The sequence below is a fragment of the Homo sapiens genome, chromosome 12 (assembly GCF_000001405.40).
Source record: "Homo sapiens chromosome 12, GRCh38.p14 Primary Assembly".
Lineage (NCBI taxonomy): Eukaryota > Metazoa > Chordata > Mammalia > Primates > Hominidae > Homo > Homo sapiens.
This window is the reverse complement of record NC_000012.12, coordinates 50637248-50658404: the sequence shown is the minus strand read 5'-3', so window position 1 is coordinate 50658404 and position 21157 is coordinate 50637248. Positions and strand designations below refer to the sequence as shown.

Genomic DNA, 21157 nt, shown 5'->3' with positions numbered 1-21157 from the left:
AGCACTTTGGGAGGCCTAAGTGGGTGGATAACTTGAAGTCAGGAGTTCAAGACCAGCCTGGCCAACATGGTAAAACCCTGTCTCTACTAAAAATACAGAAATTAGCCAGGCATGGTAGCACGCACCTGTAATTCCAGCTACTCAGGAGGCTGAGGCAGAAGAATCACTTGAACCCAGCAGGCGGAGGTTGCAGTGAGCCGAGATCACACCATTGTACTCCAGCCTGGGCGACAGAGCAAGACTCTGTCTCAAAAAAACAAAACAACAAACCCCAGAAATTCTTGTTTTTCTTTTTTTTCTTTCTTTTTTTTTTTTTTTGAGATGAGGTCTTGCTATGTATGCTGCCTAGGGTTGGTCTTGAACTGGGCTCCAGCGATCCACCCGCCTCAGTCTCCCGAAGTGCTGGGATTACCAGCCAAAATACAGAAATTCAACATTGATACAAACTATTATCTAACCCACAATCCATATTCCAACATAGTCTATTGTCCCAATAATGTCCTCTATAGGTTTTCCCTCCCACCTTTTTTCCTGATCTGGGATCTACTGGAGGAAATCCTACTTAGTTGTCCTGTCTCTTGATTCCCCTATAATCCAGAACTGTTTCTCAGCCTTACTTTGCCTTTTATTATCTTGATATTTTTGTACAGACTAGTTATTTTGTAAAATGTTCTTTAATTTTGGCTTGCTTGATATTTCCTTATAATTAATTTCAGGTTATGCAATTTGGCAGAAATACCATAGAAATAATTTGTTGTCTTCTTCTTTTTTTTTTTGTAAAGATGGGGTGTCACTACATTGCCCAGGCTGGTCTCCAACTACTGGTCTCAAGGAATCCTCCTGCTTCAGCCCCCAAAATGCTGCACTGGGATTACAAGCATGAGCCACCATGCCCAGCCAGAAATAATGTCTTTCTCAAAACATGATGTCAGGAGGTGTCTGCTCCACTATGGTAACATAACTCTAATTGCAAAGTTGGTTACTTTGGTCACTATGGTATCTGCTAAATAAACTCACTGTAAACTTAACCATTCTTCCGTTTGCAATTAATAAGTAATTCATGGGAGGATACTTTTGAGACTATATAAATGTTACATACTTTGTCAACCTTTCAACTCACTAGTTTTAGCATCCATTGATAATTCTTGGTGGAATCAACTTTTTTTTTTTTTTTTTTTTTTGTAAATAGAGATGGGGTCTCCCTATGTTGCCCAGGCTGTCTCAAACTCCTGGGCTCAAGGGATTCTCCTGCCTTGGCATCCAAAAGTGAATAGGATTACAGGTGTGGGCCACCACACCTGCCATTTTTTTAAAAAATATTTTTTATTTTTAATGGAACATTTCACGAGTTTGTGTGTCACCTTGCTCAGGGGCCATGTTAATCTTCCCTGTATCGTTCCAATTTTAGTATATGTGCTGCTGAAGTGAGCACGGAATCAATTATGATAATAACAATTACAATATGATAATTTTATAGCTCTACCATTTCTTCCATATTTATTAGTTGGTATTTATTATAAGAAAAAGTTTTCCTGGCCAGCATGGTGACTCATGCCTGTAATTCCAGCACTTTGGGAGGCCGAAGAGGGTGCATCACCTGAGGTCAGGAGTTCGAAACCAGCCTGACCAACGTGGCAAAACCCCATCTCCACTGAAAATACAAAAATTAGCTGAGCATGGTGGCGCATGCCTGTAGTCCCAGCTACTTGGGAGGCTGAGGCACAAGAATTGCTTGAACCTGGGAAGCGGAGGTTACAGTGAGCCAAGATTGTGCCACTGCACTCCCGCCTGGGTGAAAGAGCGAGACTCCATCTCAAAAGAAAAAAAGAAAGAAAAAAAGCTTTCCTTTCTCCCTTAGTTATTTATATCACTATGAGCCCATGGATTCTCATTTTATTCCATGACTATTCTGTTACTATCATTATTTTGATGCTCATATTTTGGCAGACTTGGCCAATAGGAGTCCCTTCATATGGGTTCTTATGTCCTTTGGACACAGTTCCTTAATTTTGAGCAGTTGTTTTATGACATAAGATATTCCATGCTCATGAGGTACTTTTCCTCCTCCAGACCTAGAATTATACCTTTCTTCAAGGAAAAGTGGCTCCTTTTAGTGAAGAATGAATGGTATTTAGAAACCAAATCTTAGAAGCAGGGGTACTCAGTGCTATTGGGGTATCTTTTCTAAGCCCTTTTGGTGGATCAAGAAATTCATATACATATAACTACATCTGTTTCTAACTATATTTAAAATGATGAGTTCATATTAATACCTCCATTTCCAATTCAATATCATTCTAATTTTCCCTCTTTCCACTTATAATTCCCTTCTCTAATAGGATGAAACAACATTTTCAATATATTTTACTCATTTCTTAATCCTACCATACACAGGAAGTACATTTTAAAAATTGTTTATTTTTTATTTTTGGGACAGGGTCTCACTCTGTCACCCAGGCTGGAGTGCAGTGGCATGATCTCAGCTCACTGCAACCTCCACATCCCAGGCTCAAGCAATCCTCTCACCTCAAACTCGTGTGAGTAGCTGGGACCACAGGTGCACACCCAGCTAATTTTTTGTATTTTTGGTAGAGATGGAGTTTCACTATGTTGCCCAGGTTGCTCTCAAATTCCTGGGCTCAAGCAATCCACCCGCCTTGGCCTCCCAAAGTGCTGGGATTATGGGCGTGAGCCACTGCACCCAGCCAAAAATTGCTATCTTACGTCAATATGAAAAATAAATCTTCTAACTAGTGTTCAGTATTTATTTGTAGTCCTTTTGGTCTTTAGACTGAGGACATATAGTTAAAGTATCATGGTCAAAAGCTGTTTGAGTTAGTTCTCATCCTTTCCTGCTTTGATGTGGTTATATAGTTCACATAGTTAGGTTCATTTTTTTGTTTATATTCTATAAGTCTTTCCCAATCTTGCTGATTAAAAGTTAACATGTTCCAAAAGTCAAAACTATACCAAAAAGTTAGCTTAAAGAAGTATTACTACCCGAACAATCACTTCTGCCCCAATCCCACCCACCTTTGCTATAGGTAGTAGATACATACATATTTACTATTGTTTACACAAATAAGCAGACATGTATATCTTTTCATTTCCCTGTCTTTCATACACAAAAGTAAGCATATTGTATTTTTTTGCACTTTGCTTTTCCACTTAACAATATACCCTGGAAATCATTCTCTTTCAGCTCTCTTCATTCTTTTTTACAGCTGTATAGTACACTACTGTACACAGTTTATTCAACTATTATCCTATGTCTGGGCATGTAGATGTTTCTAATATTTTACAGTTAAAAATAATGCAACAAATAGCCTCCTGCAAATATATTTTTACACTAATCAGGGCTTACCTTCAGAGTAAATTCTGACAAGAGAGAATTCTAAATAAAAAAGCAAATACGTGTTAAATTTTGTCACATCTTGAAAAATTCCTCCCCCAAAACAGTTTTTACCACACTGCATTACTACTAGCAATGTACAGGTATACCTACTTCCCCACCGCCTAACCTTCAGAGTGTGTTGTCTAGCTTTTTGATTGCTGCCAACTTGACAGCTAAGAATTCATATCCTAGTATAGTTTTAATTTGTGTTTCCTTGATCATTAATGAGATTAAACATTTTTACAGAGGACTTAAGGGCCATTTTATGTTGTCTGTTATTAAGTGAAGTGAATGTTCATGTCACTTGGCCATTTTTTATATCAGCCTTCTCTGTTTATTTAATTTTCCTTATATTTTCGGGCCAGGTGTGATGACTCATACCTGTAATCCAAGCATTTGGGGAGGCCAAAATGGGAGGACTGCATGAGCCCAAGGGTAAGAGACCAGCCTGGGCAACATAATAAAACACTACCTCTACAAAAAATAAAAAATTAGCCATGTGGTGGCATGTGCCTGTAGGGCCAGCTACTCAGGAGGCTGAGGCAGGAGGATCACTTGAGCACAGGAGGTCGAGGCTGCCTGAGCCATGATCACACTACTTGCACTCCAGCCTGGGCAACAGAGTTACACTCTATCTTTAAAAAAAAAAAAAAAGAAAGAAAGAAATATTTTCTTTCAGTATGGCATCTGTTTTTTTGACATTGTTTATGGCTTTTTTTAAACCATGCAAAAGATGGGTTTTTAAAAATTATTATAGAATTAAGTTCTCAAATCAACAACCAAACTACATCATAAGGAACTAAAAAAAGAACAAACGAATCCAAAATTAGCAGAAGGTGCTGGGCGTGGTGGTTCACGCTTGTAATCCCAGCACTTTGGGAGGCCAAGGCGGGTAGATCATCTGAGGCCAGGAGTTCCAGAACAGCCTGGCCAACAAGGTAAAACCCCGTCTCTACTAAAAATACAAAAAGTAGCCAGGTGTGGTAGCGTGCACCTGTAATCCCAGCTACTCAGGAGGCTGAGGCAGGAGAATTGCTTGAACCCAGGAGGTGGAGGTTGCAGTGAGCTGAGATCACGCCACTGCACTCCAGCCTGGGCAACAGAGTAAGGCTCTGTCTCAAAAACAAACAAAAAAAATAGCAAAAGGAAAGAAATAATAAAGATTACAGTAGAATTAAATGAAACAGAGAACAGAGAAATGGGTGCAAAATCAACAAATGAGTTGTTTTTTTGAAAAGATCAACAAAATTGACAAATCCTTAGCTTTCTTGAGAAAAAAAAAGAAGATTCAAATAACTAAAATAAGAAATAAAAGAGGAGACATTACAACTGGATGCCTCAGAAATAAAAGGAATTATAAGAGACTATGGGCTGGGTACAGAGGCTCATGCCTGTAATCTCAGCACTTTGGGAGGCCAAGGTGGGCAGATCACTTGAGCCTAGGAGGTCGAGACCAGCCTGGGCAACATGGCAACACCTCGTCTCTACAAAGAAACACAAAAATTAGCTGGGCATGGGTGTGTCTGCTCATGTAGTACCAGCTACCCAGGGCTGGGGGTAGGGGCGGGGTTGAGGTGGGAGAACTGAGGCTGTAGTGAGCCATAATTGCACCACTGCACTCTAGCCTGGGTGACAGAGAGTTCTTAAAAAAAAAAAAAAAAAAAGAAAAGAAAAAAAAAAAAGAAAGAAAGACTACTATGAATCATTACCTGGCAAAAATTGGATAATCTACAAAAAATTGGATAAATTCTTAGAAACATAAACCTAACAAGACCGAATCATGAAAAAACAGAAAATCTCAACAGATCTATAACTAGTAAGGAGATTGAATCAGTAACTAAAAACTCCCCAACAAAGAAAAGCCCAGGACCTGACAGCTTCACTGGAGAATTCTATCAAACATTTAAATATGAATTAATGTAAATCTTTCTCAAACTCTTTCAGAAAAACTGAAGAAGAGGATCACTTGAGCCCAGGAGGTGGAGGCTGCAGTGAGCTATGATCACACCGCTGCACTCCAGCCTAGGCAACAGAGGGAGACCCCGTTTCTTTAAAAAAAAAAAAACAGTTGTGTTTCTATACACTAACAATGAATTACCTGAAAAGAAAATTAAGAAAATAATGCCATTTATAATAACATCAAAAAGAACAAAATACTTAGGAATAGACATAACTGAGGAGGTGAAAAACTTGTACATTAAAAACTGTAAAACATCTCTGGAAGAAATTAAAGAAGACATAGGAAAGAGATCCTGTGTTCATGGACTGGAAGACTTTATATTGTTAAAATGTCGTTACTGTCCAAAGCATTTTAAAGATTCAATGGAATCCCTATCAAAATCCCAATGGCATTTTTTTTCCAGAGATAGAAAAAACAATTCTAAACTTTTTACACAGAATCTCAAAAGATTCCAAATAGCCAAAATAATATTTAAAAAGAAGCACAAAGCTGAAGTCTTCATACTTCTTTTTTTTGAAATGGAGTCTCAGTCTGTCGCCCAGGCTAGAGTGCAATGGTGTAATCTCAGTTCACTGCAACCTCTGCCTCCTGGTTCAAGTGATCCTCCTGCCTCAGCCTCCCAAGTAGCTGGGACTATGGGCACGTGCCACCACGTCCAGCTAATTTGTGTGTGTGTGTGCGTGTGTGTGTGTGTGTGTGTGTGTATTATATATATTATATATATATAATATATATATTTTTGCAGAGTCTCGCTCTGTTGCCCAGGCTGGAGTGCAGTGGCACAGTCTCAGCTCACTGCAACCTCCGCCTCCTGGGTTCAAGTGATTCTCTTGCCTCAGCCTCCTGAGGAGCTGGGATTAGAGGTGCCTGCTACAACGCCTGGCTAATTTTTTTTATTTTTAGTAGAGATGGGGTTTCACCATGTTGGTCAGGCTAGTCTCAAATTCCTGACTTCGTGATCGTCCGCCTCAGCCTTCCAAACAGCCGGGATTACAGGTGTGAACCACTGCACCCAGCTAATTTTTGTATTTTTAGTAGAGACACGGTTTCACCATGTTGGTCAGGCTGGTCTTGAACTCCTGACCTCAAGTGATCCACCTGCCTTGGCCTCCCAATGTGCTGGGATTACAGGCGTGAGCCACCGCACCTGGCCTTTATTTCCTTATTTTGAAACTATTACAGGATGGGCATGGTGGCTCACAGAAGTAATCCCAACACTTTGGGAGGCTGAGCGGGGAGAATCGCTTGAGTCCAGGAGTTCCAGACCAGCCTGGGAAACACAGTGAGATTGTGTCCCTATTTTTAAAAAAAATGATTACAAAGCTCCAGTATTCAAAATAGTTTGGTACTGGCATAAAGACCGACAGGAAGACCAACGGAACAATAGAGAGCCCGGAAATATACCCTCACATAGAAGGTCAAATGATCTTCAACAAAGGTGCCAAAACTACACAATGAGGAAAGGATAGTTTCTTCAACAAATGTGTTAGGAAAACTGAATATCCACATGCAAAAGAATGAAAAATGGGTCCTTATTTAACATGATATACAAAAATTGACTCAAAATAGATTAAAGACCTAACCAGCAAGGCCGGAAACTAAACTCCTAGAAGGAAATAGAGGGAAAAAACTTCATGACATTGGATTTGACAACAATTTATTGAACGCGACAGCAAAACCACAGGCAGTAAGAGCAAAAATAGGCAAATAAGACTACATTAAACTTAAAAACTTCTGCACATCACAGAAACAATCAACAGAATAAAAAGATAACCTGCAAAATTGGAGAAAATATTTACAAGCCATATATTGGGTAGGGCGTTAATATCCAAAATAAAGACCTCCTATAACCCAGTAACAAAAAAAATTAACCCAAGTTTCTAAATGGGCAAAGAACTTGAATAGACATTTCTCCAGAGAAGATAAACAACCAACAATCATATGAAAAAATGCTCAACATCACTTTCTTCAAGGAAATGAAAATCAAAACCACAATGAGGTACTACTTCACAGCCACTAGAACGGCCATACCTTACTTACATCCATTAGATTTTTTTTCTATATCAAAAAATCAGAAAATACGTGTTGAAGAGGATTTGGAGAAATGGGAATCCTTGTGCACCACTGGTGGGATTGTAAAATGATATAGCTTCTAAGGAAAATAGTACGGAGTTTCCTCAAAGATTAAAAAAATAGATTTACCATATGACCAAGCAATTCCACTTCTGGATATATCTCCAAATAAACCGAAAACAGGATCTCAAAGAGATATTTGTACACTCATGTTCACTGCAGCATTATTCACAATAACTAAGATGTGGAAGCAACCAAATCCCCATTGTTGTGGAACAGGTAAGTAAAACATGGTATATACATACAAGGAAATATTATTCAGTCTTAAAAAAATAAGGGAATCCCATCTTATGCTACAACATGGATGAAACCTGAGGACACTGTGCAGAGTAAAATAAGCCAATCACAAAAAGACAAATACTGCATGATTCCAGTTATATGAAGTACTCAAATTCACAGAAGCAGGAAGTAGAATGGTGGTTGCTGGAGGCTGAGAGGAGGGGGAAATGAGTTGTTGTTCAACAGGTATGGAATTCCAGTCACACAAGATGAAGAAGTTCTAGAGATCTACTGTACAATAACATGCGTACAGTTACCAATACGGTAACGTATACTTAAAAACTGTCAAAAGGATAAATTTATGTGTTTTTTAACCACAACAAAAATATTTTATGTCATTTTTAAAATTACATCTGCATTCTGAGCCTTCCTATAGGCTGGATTATAGGAAAGTTTTGTGATGTTTTCATTTGGCACTTTTTTTTTTTGAGACAGAGTTTCACTCTTGTTGCCCAGGCTGAAGTGCAATGGCATGATCTTGGCTCACTGCAACCTCCGCCTCCCGGGTTCAAGCGATTCTCCTGCCTCAGCCTCCTGAGTAGCTAGGATTACAGGCACCCACCACCACCCCTGGCTCATTTTTTGTATTTTTAGTAGAGATGCGGTTTCATCATGTTGGCCAGGCTGGTCTCAAACTCCTGACTTCAGGTGATCCACCCGCCTCGGCTTTCCAAAGTGTTGGGATTACAGGCGTGAGCCACAGTGCACGGGCTCGTTTGGCACTTAATATGGTTTCTCTTTTACATAAGATCTCTGATTTTTGAAGTTTATACTTTTTTTTTTGAGACAAAGTCTCACCCTTTCACCCAGGCCGGATTGCAGTGGCACAATCTCGGCTCACAGCAGCCTCCACCTCCTAGGTTCAAGTGATTCTCATGCCTCAGCATCCTGAGTAGCTGGGACTACAGGCACTCATCACCATACCCAGCTAATTTTTTTGTATTTTTAGTAGAGATGGAGTTTCACCATGTTGGCCAGCCTGGCCTCGAACTCCTGACCTCAAGTGATTTGCCCACTTTGGCCTCCCAACTTGCTGGGATTACAGGTGTGAGCCACCACACCTGGCCTGAAGTTTATGCTTATACATGGTGTGAGATATGGAGCTAATTAATGTTTTTCCAGCTGTCCTAGTGTCATTTAAAGTACATTTTTGTCCTGGTGATTAGTAATGTAATCTTTATTGTATACTAAATTCCCAGATATACGCCTGTCTAGCTCTGAACTTGTTATTCCAATGGTCTGCCTTCTAATCTGTGTGCCATACTAAACAGTTTTAATTAGTCTCTATAGGATGTTTTAATATCTAGAACGTGCAGTCACTCCTTGTAGCTTTTCTTTCTCAGTGTTCTCTTAGCTATTCTTATATGTTTATTTTCCCAAATGAACTTCAAAAATGAGTTTTCTAACTCTATAAATAAATTTGATAGCTTTTATCGGCATTAGATTAGATTTGTAAAGTAATTTAGACAGACCTGGCGTCTTCATGGTGTTAAACTGCCCTAAGAACAAGGGATCTCTTTCCACTTATTAGGTCTACTTTTTTGTCTTTCAGGGTTTTAAAGTTTTTTTCATAAAGGTTTTAGACATTTCTTAAGTTTATTCCTAAATATATTTTACCTTTATTGCTTTTGTAAATGAAGTTTGCTCTACTATTGTATCTTTTAACTGCTTATTATTTGCATATGTTAAGGTTGTTGATTTCTGTACTCGCTTTATATCTTGCTGACTAAATTGTTTTAAGTTAATTCTGTCATTGATTCTCTCGAGTTTTCTAGATAAATTATCACATAAACTGTAAATACAGTTTTACTTCTTTTCTAATTCTTACACTTCTTACTGATTTTTCTTGTCCATCTGCACTGGCAAATACCTATGGTACAATTTAAATGTTAGTATCTTTAGGATTAAAAAAAAGCCCTTGCAAGTAAGGAGGGGGGGGGGAAGAACAACCCAACTCAAAAAAAAAAAAAAAAGGGGGCTGGGCGTGGTGGCTCACGCCTGTAATCCCAGCACTTTGGGAGGCCGAGACGGGCGGATCACGAGGCCAGGAGATCGAGACCATCCTGGCTAACACAGTGAAAACCCGTCTCTACTAAAAATACAAAAAATTAGCCGGGCGTGGTGGCAGGTGCCTGTAGTCCCAGCTACTCGGGAGGCTGAGGCAGGAGAATGGCGTGAACCCAGGAGGCGGAGCCTGCAGTGAGCCGAGATCGGGCCACTGGACTCCAGCCTGGGCAACAGAGCGAGACTCCGTCTCAAAAAAAATAAATAAATAAAATAATAAAAAAAATAGGCTTAGGCAATGGACAGGTAGTTTACAGAAGCACAAATGGCCAGTAAACATATCTCCAAATGTCCAACCTCATTAGTAACAAAAGAAATAATACTTTTACCACCAAGATAAGGATAACACTGAAACATTTGTTTTCTCATCTTTCCCAAAAAGACTAAGTGGAATATGTTATTTTTAGTTTCAAAGTAGCTGCTCCTATTCTTTTGGTTTTTGTTTGTTTGTTTGTTTTTTTGAGACGGAGTGTTGGAGCATCGATCTGTCGCCTAGGCTGGAGTGCAGTGGCGCGATGTTGGCTCACTGCAACCTCCGCCTCCTGGGTTCAAGCAATTCTCCTGCCTCAGTCTCTCGCATAGCTGGTACTACAGGCGCACGCCACCACGCCTGGCTAATTTTTGTATTTTTAGTAGAGACGGGGTTTGGTCAGGCTGGTCTCAAACTCCTGACCTCAAGCAATCCACCTGCCTCGGCCTCCCAAAATGCTAGGATTACAGGTGTGAGCCACTGTGCCCGGCCAGCTGCTCCTATTCTTGGCTTATTTTTACAAAGTGGTTAGCATATGATCCATGAGTGGCACACCTGGGCTTTAAGGACCAGGGCCAGAACTCAGACCAAGTGACCTTACTTGTTAGGATTTTTCCATAGACAGACAGATAGGGACAGAGTGACTGAAAAGCAAATGTGTAGGTGGGTTGAGTCATAAAGCAGAGAGGTATTGTTCAAGGAATTCCTTGCAAGCCAACAAGCAGTCATGCCATTTTTCCTTAATTTCTAAGGTACTGACCTCTTGCAGAGGCAGCAACGACTAACTTCTGAAATAGGATATCACAACACTAATTAGGGCACTACTCTGTGCAGGGTGGAGAGGAAAAGGAGGGGATATTTTAATTTTCCATTTCACATTCCCTTGCCTTGATAAATTATGTTTCTTCTGCCTGGAATATCCAAATAATTATCCATCCTTCAAAATGGCTCAGACATCACCACCTCCATTCTGAAGCCCATTCTTGACACTGTATGCCTTCCCGTCTCCCTCTTCTGTGTCACCTCTGAACCTTGTTTTGGGCGGGGGGGAGAAAAACTCCAGCTTAGGCAACATGGTGAAACCCTGTCTCCACAAAAAATACAAAAATCATCCAGGCATGACAGGGTTTGTCTGTAGTCCCAGCTACTCGAGCTAAGGAGGGAGGATCGTTTGAGCCCAGGAGGCGGAGGTTGGAGTGAGACGAGATTGTGTCACTCCATTTCATCCTAGACAACAGAGCGGGACCACAGCGTCCCCCACCCCCCTCCCCCCAAAAAAAGACAAACAAGAAAAACAGAAGAAAAACTCCTGTGTTTTCATCTATGCTTCTCTATCAATCTAACATTTTTCTCAAAATATAGGAAGTCTACAATAAATGCTTGCTGAACTGAATTCAACTTACCTTCTACAGCATGAGGAATATATCAGAAATAAAATGATCTTGGTGTGCCAGTGCCAGCCATCACCAGATCAGAGATTAGATTTGGACAGACAGAAAAGTTCACAATTAGGGTGGCAAAGCGAGTTAGTACTGCATTTAGCTCCCAGCATTAAATCAGAAGAATCCATACTTAGAGTAAAAGTCATTAAGAACAATAACTGGGCCGGGCATGGTGGCTCACACCTGTAATCCCAGCACATTGAGAGGCCAGGGTGGGTGGATCACTTGAGGCCAGGAGTTTGAGGCCAGCCTGGCCAACACAGGGAAACCTCATCTTTATTAAAAATACAAAAATTAGCTGGGCACGGTGGTATGTGCCTGTAATCCTAGCTACTCGGGAGACTGAGGCACGAGAATTACTTTAACCCAGGAGGCGGAGGTTGCAATGAGCCAAGATAGCACCACTGCATTCCAGCCTGGGCAACAGAGTGAGACTCTGTCTCAAAAATAATAATAATAATAGACAAAGCGCAGTGGCTCACGCCTGTAATCCCAGCACTTTGGTAGGTCAAGGCAGGCGGATCACGAGGTCAGGAGCTCCAGACCAGCCTGGCCAATATGGTGAAACCCCGTCTCTATTAAAATACAAAAATTAGTTGGGTGTGGTGGCACGTGCCTGTAATCCCAGCTACTTGGGAGGCTGAGGCAGAAGAATCACTTGAACCCAGGAGGCGGAGGTTGCAGTGAGCTGAGATCACATCACTGCACTCCAGCCTGGGCAACAGAGTGAGACTCCGTCTCAAAAAAAATAAAATAAAATAAAATAAATAAACAATAATTAAGACCTTAAAATCTTAAAACCTATCTTTAAAATTTACAATACACATAAATTTTATTTTACTATAATGAAAGATTGAAAAAATACACATTGCAAAAAGATCTAAACATATATAAAGCTAAAGTGAAAACTTTCCCTAGACCCACCATTTCCCAAAAATACTCCTGCCTCAATAGTTTGGTATATATTTTTCCAGGTCTCCATGTCTATAAACATAGTAGCATATGTTTATATTACTATAACATAATAATGCTATAAATATTACAATTATAAACATATTATTTATAAAAATCAGATTATATGCTACATACTGTCTTGCCTTTATTATTTAAAAAGTATATTTTGGGCTGGACACAATGGTTCACCACTGTAATCCCAGCACTTGGGGGAGGCCAAGGCGGGAGGATTGCTTAAAACCAGGAGTTCGACACCAGCGTGGGCAACAAAGTGAGATCCCATCTCTACAAAAAATAAAATAAGTTAACCTGGCACAGTAGCATGTGCCTGTACTTCCAACTACTTAAGAGGCTGAGGCAGGAAGATTGCTTGAACCCAGGAGTTAGAAGCTGCACTGAGCCATGATTGTGCCACTGTACTCCAGCCTGAGTGACAGAGTGAGACCCTGTCTCAAAAAAAAAAAAAAAAGGATTTTGTACATCCTTCCATATTTGCACAAATACATCTACCTCATTTTAACGTTCATAAAATTCTACTGTGTGAACATTCTATGACTTATTTAACCATTGTATTATACACAATACTACAACAAACATCTTTGTATATGTATGTATATATCTTTGTGCACACGACTGTTTATATAAAATGAATTCCTAGAAGTAGAATTTCTGGATAAAGAACATGACTATTTAAAATTTTAATGATATTGCCAAACTGTTGGGCTATTACTTTTAAGACATTACCAACTTATTTTTAGCTCTGAAATGAAATAATTTTATACTGCATTTATACTGATTATACAATTGTAGTGTCCTTGGAATTTACTTAGTTGAATCACGATTGCATATTTAATTGAATCTATGGTGTCATCTTGTATAAAACATTCTGATTTTAGGTATGTTAAAAATGAGAAAAATGTCCTCCTTATATTAGAAGGAAAAATGATTCCTAGCTGTCTTAAAAAATGATTAATCACTTCTACTGAGAAAGTAACAGACAACAGCAAATCAAATTCTTACATTTATTAATTAAAAAGAGTACATTTCCAAAAGCATTTTTATATATGATATGAAATATGTAATGGCAAACTGGACAAAGCTAGGGAATTACACACATTAAGAAAGCTTTAGAAGGCCTGTAACATTTGGATAATTAGTAATTACAGAGCATGTTTTTCCCTGTCACAGGCATTCACAGCAACAGATTACAAAACGAATCAAGCCACCCAACTATTTTCTAACATGATAAACCTTGACCCATACACCAGTGTCAAAAAGAGATGTTCAGTTATCTATTAGAAAAGACTCTTATTGATAAGAACAGGCAGCTCTCTTAACTGAATTTGACTCACTGAACACCACACAATTCATCTTGATCTTTGATAAAGAAGTCACTTCTGGAGTTCAGTCCCCAGACACAAGTGACTTTGGACATCTCTCCCAGAAGCATGTGGAAGCTGGGTATCATTTTCCAGTATTCATGTTTGAGCTGAATAAGGTAATACGAATACTCCCTTAATGTCCTGTTTTATTTTTGTTGTTTTGTTTGAGGTACCTAACTTCTCAAGAGATTAACATCAAGGGAGTCAGAATGACTTACAATAAGATCACTTTCCATCTCAGGCATTAATTTGTGTTTTCTACATTTGAGACCATACTATGTGTGTGCAGGGAGGTGAATCATGCCTGGATGTGCAGGAAAAAGAAATATACTAATAAGGTAGTATACTTGAAATTAAGCTCCCTCTTGGCTAAAGCACAAAGAATGGAATCAGGTCAGATAATCTAAACTCTGAATAAAGGTAAGTTCTTTATACTGTGTCTGAAATGTGAACACTAAGTCTATTTAGATTTGATTATGATTGGTTGAAATGTTATAGGTGTTAATAAGCCTCCATCAAATAAGAAAGTGTTTTATAATTACACTTACCAGCATTAATATAAAATCCTTCTTACATAGCCATCACTTTATTCTGAATTCTAGCAACTTTTATTAAATATACCCTAAATTCTTCAGCTATTTTTGCACATGACATGTAAATGTAACCCTTTCTATGACTGGCGTAGCAAACAGATATAAGGTCAGCTCCCATCAACCTCCACTACTTATCTGCTCCACCTCTGCAGGGGCTGCGGGTCTCTTCTCAAGCAATCCTCCTGCCTCGGCCTCCCTGAGTGCTGAGATTACAGGCATGAGCCACCCCTGCTGATTTCTTCTTATTCGGAGAAGCCAGAATTCTCAGAGACTCAATTTCTTTCACATCCTGAGCTTTCTTTCGTTATTTAGTTGAGCAATTCCTAATATACTGAAAAATTTGATTTTCACCCAAAGTCTATGCTTGCATCCTCTTTTTATGTTCCCCTCCTGATAGGATTGCAGGACCCTCATAGCTTTCAATATCTTCAGGGTTTTTAAATCACTTTTTCTCCCCTACTTCACCTCGTTCTGGCCTACTTTTTGCTACTATCCTTTAAAACACACACACACACACACACACACACACACACACACACACACACACAGAAAAACTCCCAGTGAGATTAACATACAATTGTTACAAACTCTCTAGTATACCTGCACCTAACCAACAATCTCCACAGTCAGCTGACTAGTATCTGATCCACAGCATACGCTTTCTAATACTTGGGATAATCAAAAAGCAATGGTGCAAAACAGCAGGGACTACAGATCACAGCTGGGTTTTAACAGGTGAAGCTCAAAATTTTATAGTACTAAATGAGCTCACAAAAAACTTTTTTACATTTGATTGGCTTGGATATAGAATATTGAAAATCACCTTTTTGGATCCTTAATAATCCTTTATTACATGCTATAAAAACAAAGAAAAAGGAAGGTTAAAAAAACAAAACGCACACACACACTCACACACACACACACACAGAAACTCCCAGAAGGCCAGGGATGAAAGCTGTGACGGCTAAAAACCCTTCTGGACAGGTTGGAACATGCTGCTGCTGAACCTGGGCTCCAGCCTGAAAAGGCAACACTAGGTGGCTGGAAAATGAGGCTCAGGTGATTGGCAACAAAGGGGTGCACCTGAATGCTTTGCTACTTCCAGCCCTCCCTTTCTCTGATCCATTCCTTAACTAGTAACCACGATGTGTTGTTGTTTTTTTTTGAGACAGAGTCTCGCTCAGTCGCCCAGGCTGGAGTGCAGTGGCACGATCTCGGCTCACTGCAAGCTCTGCCTCCCAGGTTCACGCCATTCTCCTGCCTCAGCCTCCCGAGGAGCTGGGACTACAGGCGCCTGCCACCACATCCAGCTAAATTTTTTTGTATTTTTAATAGAGATGGGGTTTCACTGTGTTAGCCAGGATGGTCTCGAACTCCTGACCTCAAGTGATCCACCTACCTTGGCCTCCCAAAGTGCTAGGATTACAGGTGTGAGCCACCACCCTGGCCTACTAGTAAATACTTCTATTCCCTTCTTTCTGCAAAATATCTGTTTAGCTCTTATATATGGAAGGCCCTGTGCCAGGCACTGCAGTCTACAGCTGGAGTGAGCTACTGGAACAAATACAAATCTGATGATGTTACTGCTCTGCTGAAAATCCTTCAGTGACATTCAAGATCCCACAAGATCTGGTCTCTGGTAATCTTTCTAGCCTCATCTCCCACCTCTTTCTGACCCTTGCATTCTAAGTTCTGAACACTATTTCCCTGGCTAACTCTTGTTTGTCTGCCATGACTCAGCTTGGATGTCTTTGTTCTCTGAGCAAGCCTCTCCTATCACTCAAGACCAGTTTAGGTATAAAATTACAACCTCTATTTTTTTTTTCCCGACTGAACATTTCTCATCCTTTTCTCCTTCTGTGTGTGAAAATATGTATCTAGTAAAATCAGCTCACAAAATAGCTGATGTAGCTCTTCAACTGTGTCCTTTTCTCATTTTCTCTAAAGCAGTTTTTGAGAGGATGTGATATAGACTGTGTTTTTCAGTTCAAGAAAATGTTAAGGCAACCTTGGTCAGTACAAAGAAGACAAAAATCTGAAGAAAATAAATAATATCCCCATTAGTCTTTTTGCTTAATTCTGCCACTTCTTAAAACAAGAAATGTGCTGCAGAGACTACTCTTGGTGCAGCGGACAGGAAGTGGGCATGGGAAGGGCCTGCTGCACCACACGTGCTCTAGGGATCTACCAGTCGTTCCTCTGCTTATCAAAGCCACACACCTGGTACTGGCCGCCAGGTGGTCCCAAGCACAGTACAAGCAGGAGCATGCTCCCGCTGCCATGCAGGCACACCTTGCTCCTTCCCTTCCTGTGGGTACTTCTTGGGTTAGAAGAAATAACTAATTTGAAATTTCATTGTGAGTTTTCTTTCAGCTCCATCAATTAAGAGAGACTAGTTATGCAACAACTCTGGCAAACACAGAAGGGCCTGCCTCTTCCAATAGAATCCACTGAGGTCTCCTAGTACCACCCACAAGACCCAACCCTTCACTTTCTTATTTACTTATTTATTCACATGGCCTTTGTGCTTGTATGCTTGTCTGGTTCTCTTCTTAAACTGTTACATTCCTTAAGGGCAGAAACAGTCTTTATTTTTTTTGAGATGCAGTCTCACTGTTGCCCAGGCTGGAGTGCAGTGGTGGGATCTCAGCTCACTGCAACCTCCACCTCCCAGGTTCAAGTGATTCTCCTGTCTCAGCCTCCTGAGTAGCTGGGATTACAGGTGCCCACCACCATGCCCAGCTAATTTTTGTATTTTTAGTACAGACGAGGTTTCACCATGTTGGCCTGGCTGGTCTCAAACTCCTGACCTCAAGTGATCTGCCCGCCTCAGCCTCCCAAAGTGCTGGGGTTACAGGCGTGAGCCACATCGCCCAGCCGGAAACAGTCTTATGTGCTGTTCCATTTCCAGCAAATTATTGAGTACCTACTATACCTGATACATAGTAGGGTACAAAATAAATGATTGGTGAATGAGTTAATATAAAACTGTTGGTGCCTCATAGGGAAAAAAAAGACAAGTATTAGAAGCTCTCAGGATACACAGTTCATACTACTGTTAGGAAAACGATTCAGCTGGCCATTCTGCAGCTTCTCCTCACCTGATCGATATCGTTCATCCCTGGCTCCCCCAGATCGAGTTCGGTGGTACTTAGAGGGAGCAGAAGTTTGAGCTGCAGATGGAGCAGGTGTCTGGTTTCTAAGTTCTTTCTGTACTGCTGAATCAGTTTCTAAAAAAGGAAGTTTAAAAGATGGTTATCCAGTAACAGTAATAGCTAACATTTTCTAAAGCACTTTAAGCATTCTCACAATACTCTGAGCTAGGTACTATTACCCCATCTACAGTAAAGGGTTAGAGTTTCAATATAAATACATAAATATGATGCAAAGACATCCAAACTAAAAAATATCATCTTAGAGCCTTAAATGTCAACAGGTTGATAGGAGAGGAATAGCAAGAAGACAAATGTAAATTAAAAGGCCATTCCAGAGACTCCAAGGAGAGGCAGTACTGATGGGGAGTTGACTGCATATGATCCCCAATCCTAAACAGTGAGACAACGAATAGCTTGGGGAGCCTTAGCTACCATACCGTCAGTCACTCCAGATAAACATAATACAAGCAAAAACAGGGTGATTATGCAGCACAGCTTCAAGTCAAGTCTATTAGCCCCTCTTCCAACTGGACTCATCACTGACCCTACCCTGTCCCCATACTCTCCCCTCCCAAAATGTACTGTCTTATCAAGAATATGGGGATGGGGTAAATAAACAGAAAAACACTAAGTTCTGATGTTTTCCTGCCTTTTTATCTCAAATGATTAATTCCAAATCTGTTTCTTAAAAAAAATTACAATAAAAAAACTTAACGAGATGTACGTTAACAAAATTTTGAGTGTAAAATACAGTAGTATTAATATCTTATTAGTATTAATAAGGCACGATGTTATAAAGCAGAACTTACTAATCTTGCATAACTGAAACTTTATACCTGCAGAACAGCAATGCCTCATTTCCTGCTCCCTATATGCCCTGGCAACCACCATTCTACTCTCTGCTTTTATGAGCTTGACTCTCTTAGATGTCCCATATAAGTGGAATCATGCAGTATTTGTTCTTCTGTGACTGCTTTATTTTCCTCAGCATAATGTCCTCCAGGTTCATCCATGTTGTCACATATTGCAGGATTTCCTTAAGGCTTAAGTTTCTGAAATAGCACCCGGTTATGCCCAGCAAGGCAGCTTACACATAGCAAATTAAATGCCTAATATATTAAGATGTCACCTACACAGCAAATGTACTGCTCCAGATCCCAGCTGAGAATCAGCCTATAAAGCAAAAAAATTAAGGAAAAAAAAAAAAGACTCAAAGCAGCGGTCTGGGGAGTACAAGCAACAGTGCCACACAGCCCAGTAAAGACTGATAGCATCAGAGTATTACAGGAACTGAGATTCATAATGACAATGTTATATCATTTAAAAAGAAAAAAAAAAGCAGGTAGCATGCTGGAAAGGCCATGTGTTGAGGCTCTAGTCAATAGTTCCGGCTGAGCCCAGCCATCCACCTGCCCTGTCAAGGCATCAAACATGTGAATGAGCCATCTTGGACTGTCCAGAGCAGCCCATCTACTAGGTGAGGGGGAAGACAACCACTGAATGACCTCAGTTGGCAACCATATAGAGCAAAATAATCACCAAAATTAGCCCTGCCCAAATTCACGCCTGTAGTCTCAGCTACTTGGGGAGGCTGAGGCAGGAGAATCACTTGAACCTGGAGGCAGAGGTTGCAGTGAGCCAAGATCGTGCCACTGCACTCCAGCCTGAGTGACAGAGCAAGACTCTGTCTCAAAAAAAAAAAAAAAAATTGTGGAGACTTATTCCCACCTTGGCTCACTTGCAAGGGCAGTGATTTATCACGAATGGGGGCAGAAAACAACATACAGGTTGAACACCCCAAATACCCAAATCCGAAACTTTTTGAGCTCCTGTCTAATGCTCACAGGAATGTTCCTTGAAACATTTCTAATTGCCAATTTTCAGATTTCAGATGGTCAACTGGTATATAATGTAAATATTCCAAAAAAAAAAAATCTGAAACACTTCTAGTCCCAAGCATTTCAGATAAGGGCTACTCAACCCATACCTCAGGCCTCATCAAAAAGAGGTGGGAAGGAGTATGGGGGCATGGGAGGACAGCAGGACATTATTTAACAGCATATGTAATGTCAGCTGGGCAGGCAAGATGCTGCCTCAAGGTGAATCATTCCCTGACCATGGTTTCACACTCCAACTAGATCTCAGAAATTACCTGGGGTGCTAAAATACAGATTCCTGTGTTTTGAATAAGATATACACAGTTTCACTGCCATGGTAAAGAAAAGCTAAAAGCAAAGATGAAACTTAACTACATGTATCAACATAATGAGATACTATATGCCATTACAAATGAAAAATATGTAGACTATGCAGATACTTCAGTCCAAATAAAGTAATGCCAAGTGATAAAAGAACACAAAATATTATGTACACAATATAATTATAACTGTATGTAAAAACTATTTATATACAATTATAAGGGTCAGGTGGGACATAAAAATCCCAAAGGTATTTGGATTGAGGTACTCTATTTCTTTACAATTTCATTGTTCTGCTTATAGGATGAATTACGCATAAAACCAAATTCTAAAAGACAATACAAATACGTGCTGGAATGGAAGCTGCCAGACTCACAAATTAAGTCTTCTTTATGACTTCTAAATTCTAGCACAAAATAAAACAGAGATCCGAAGAAAAAGACAACTTGCTGATTATTACAAAGCAAGAGCTTCAGTTCGGGGGTTTCTGATCTTTCAGTCTGTTATGCAGAATATCCACTAGAGGTCACCATTATGTTTAAATAGTGATGATGTTAAAAGGTTTAGTAACAATAAAAAGTACACATTTTAGGTTCAAAAACATAAAGCCTTCCTTCTCAATGATCAATATGTATGTAAGTTATTGTTCCTTGGCAGAAAAATACATCAGAGTCTAATATGTTTCTATTGTTTGAATATGGTAAGGATGATAATCTGAAAAAAATGGTATTTAGTAGCAAAAAACTACACATTTCCACTCAGGAAGATGGAAGGAAGCCACCAGCCTCCACATGTTATCTTTTAATTCTGCTTATGATTTAACAGATATTCTCACCTGCAAGAGTAACAGAGTGAAACAGGATGGGCTCTGAGAACCAAGGAACCTAATAGTTCAACTTCTGGGAGGTGAACAGAGCAGACATGCCTACTGTTCTTGGTGCTAGTGTCCAGAGAAGAAACACATTAAACAAGTGGTCACCATATGTATACCTTTGACCTTGTGATACATGCTAAGGAGGAAAAGAACAAGGGTCTCCCAGCCCACATAATAAGGATTTAACTTGTATTAGAGTTTCAGGGAAGATGAATGTCTGCTGAAAGGAGACAGTGATGCAAAACTTAACTAGGCAGAGAGAAGGAAAAGCCACTTTATTCAAAAGCATGGTGTTTGTAGAAGCCCAGTGAGGGAGAAAAGCCTTGGCAAGTCTAAGACCAGTGAGGCTAAAGATACAGCAAAAGGGTAGAGTGTTACAAAATGAGACTGGACTAGAAAAGTGGCATCAGGTCACTTGTCCTAAGCCGAGTGGGCAGCCTTTGAAGGGATTTACAGGAAATGACAGAATATCAATGATA

General features: G+C 40.0%; 1 protein-coding gene and 1 pseudogene across 1 annotated transcript in view, besides 1 other annotated feature; both read right to left on the bottom strand.

Annotated features, from left to right (window-relative positions):
* DIP2B (disco interacting protein 2 homolog B) overlaps positions 1 to 21157 on the bottom strand; it is a 243673-nt gene that overhangs the window by 90253 nt on the left and 132263 nt on the right. Inside the window, exon 3 of the mRNA NM_173602.3 lies at positions 17553 to 17681. Within this exon, the coding sequence (NP_775873.2) occupies positions 17553 to 17681 (129 nt within the window). The remainder of the gene's footprint in view (positions 1 to 17552; positions 17682 to 21157) is intronic.
* RNU6-238P (RNA, U6 small nuclear 238, pseudogene) lies at positions 1333 to 1432 on the bottom strand (annotated as a pseudogene).
* Positions 17674 to 17723: an enhancer, noted in NCBI's record as "active region_6362". NCBI's record gives its function as "activates an Ori minimal core promoter by ATAC-STARR-seq in GM12878 lymphoblastoid cells {active_cell/tissue: GM12878}" and the evidence as "EXISTENCE:reporter gene assay evidence [ECO:0000049][PMID:35858748]".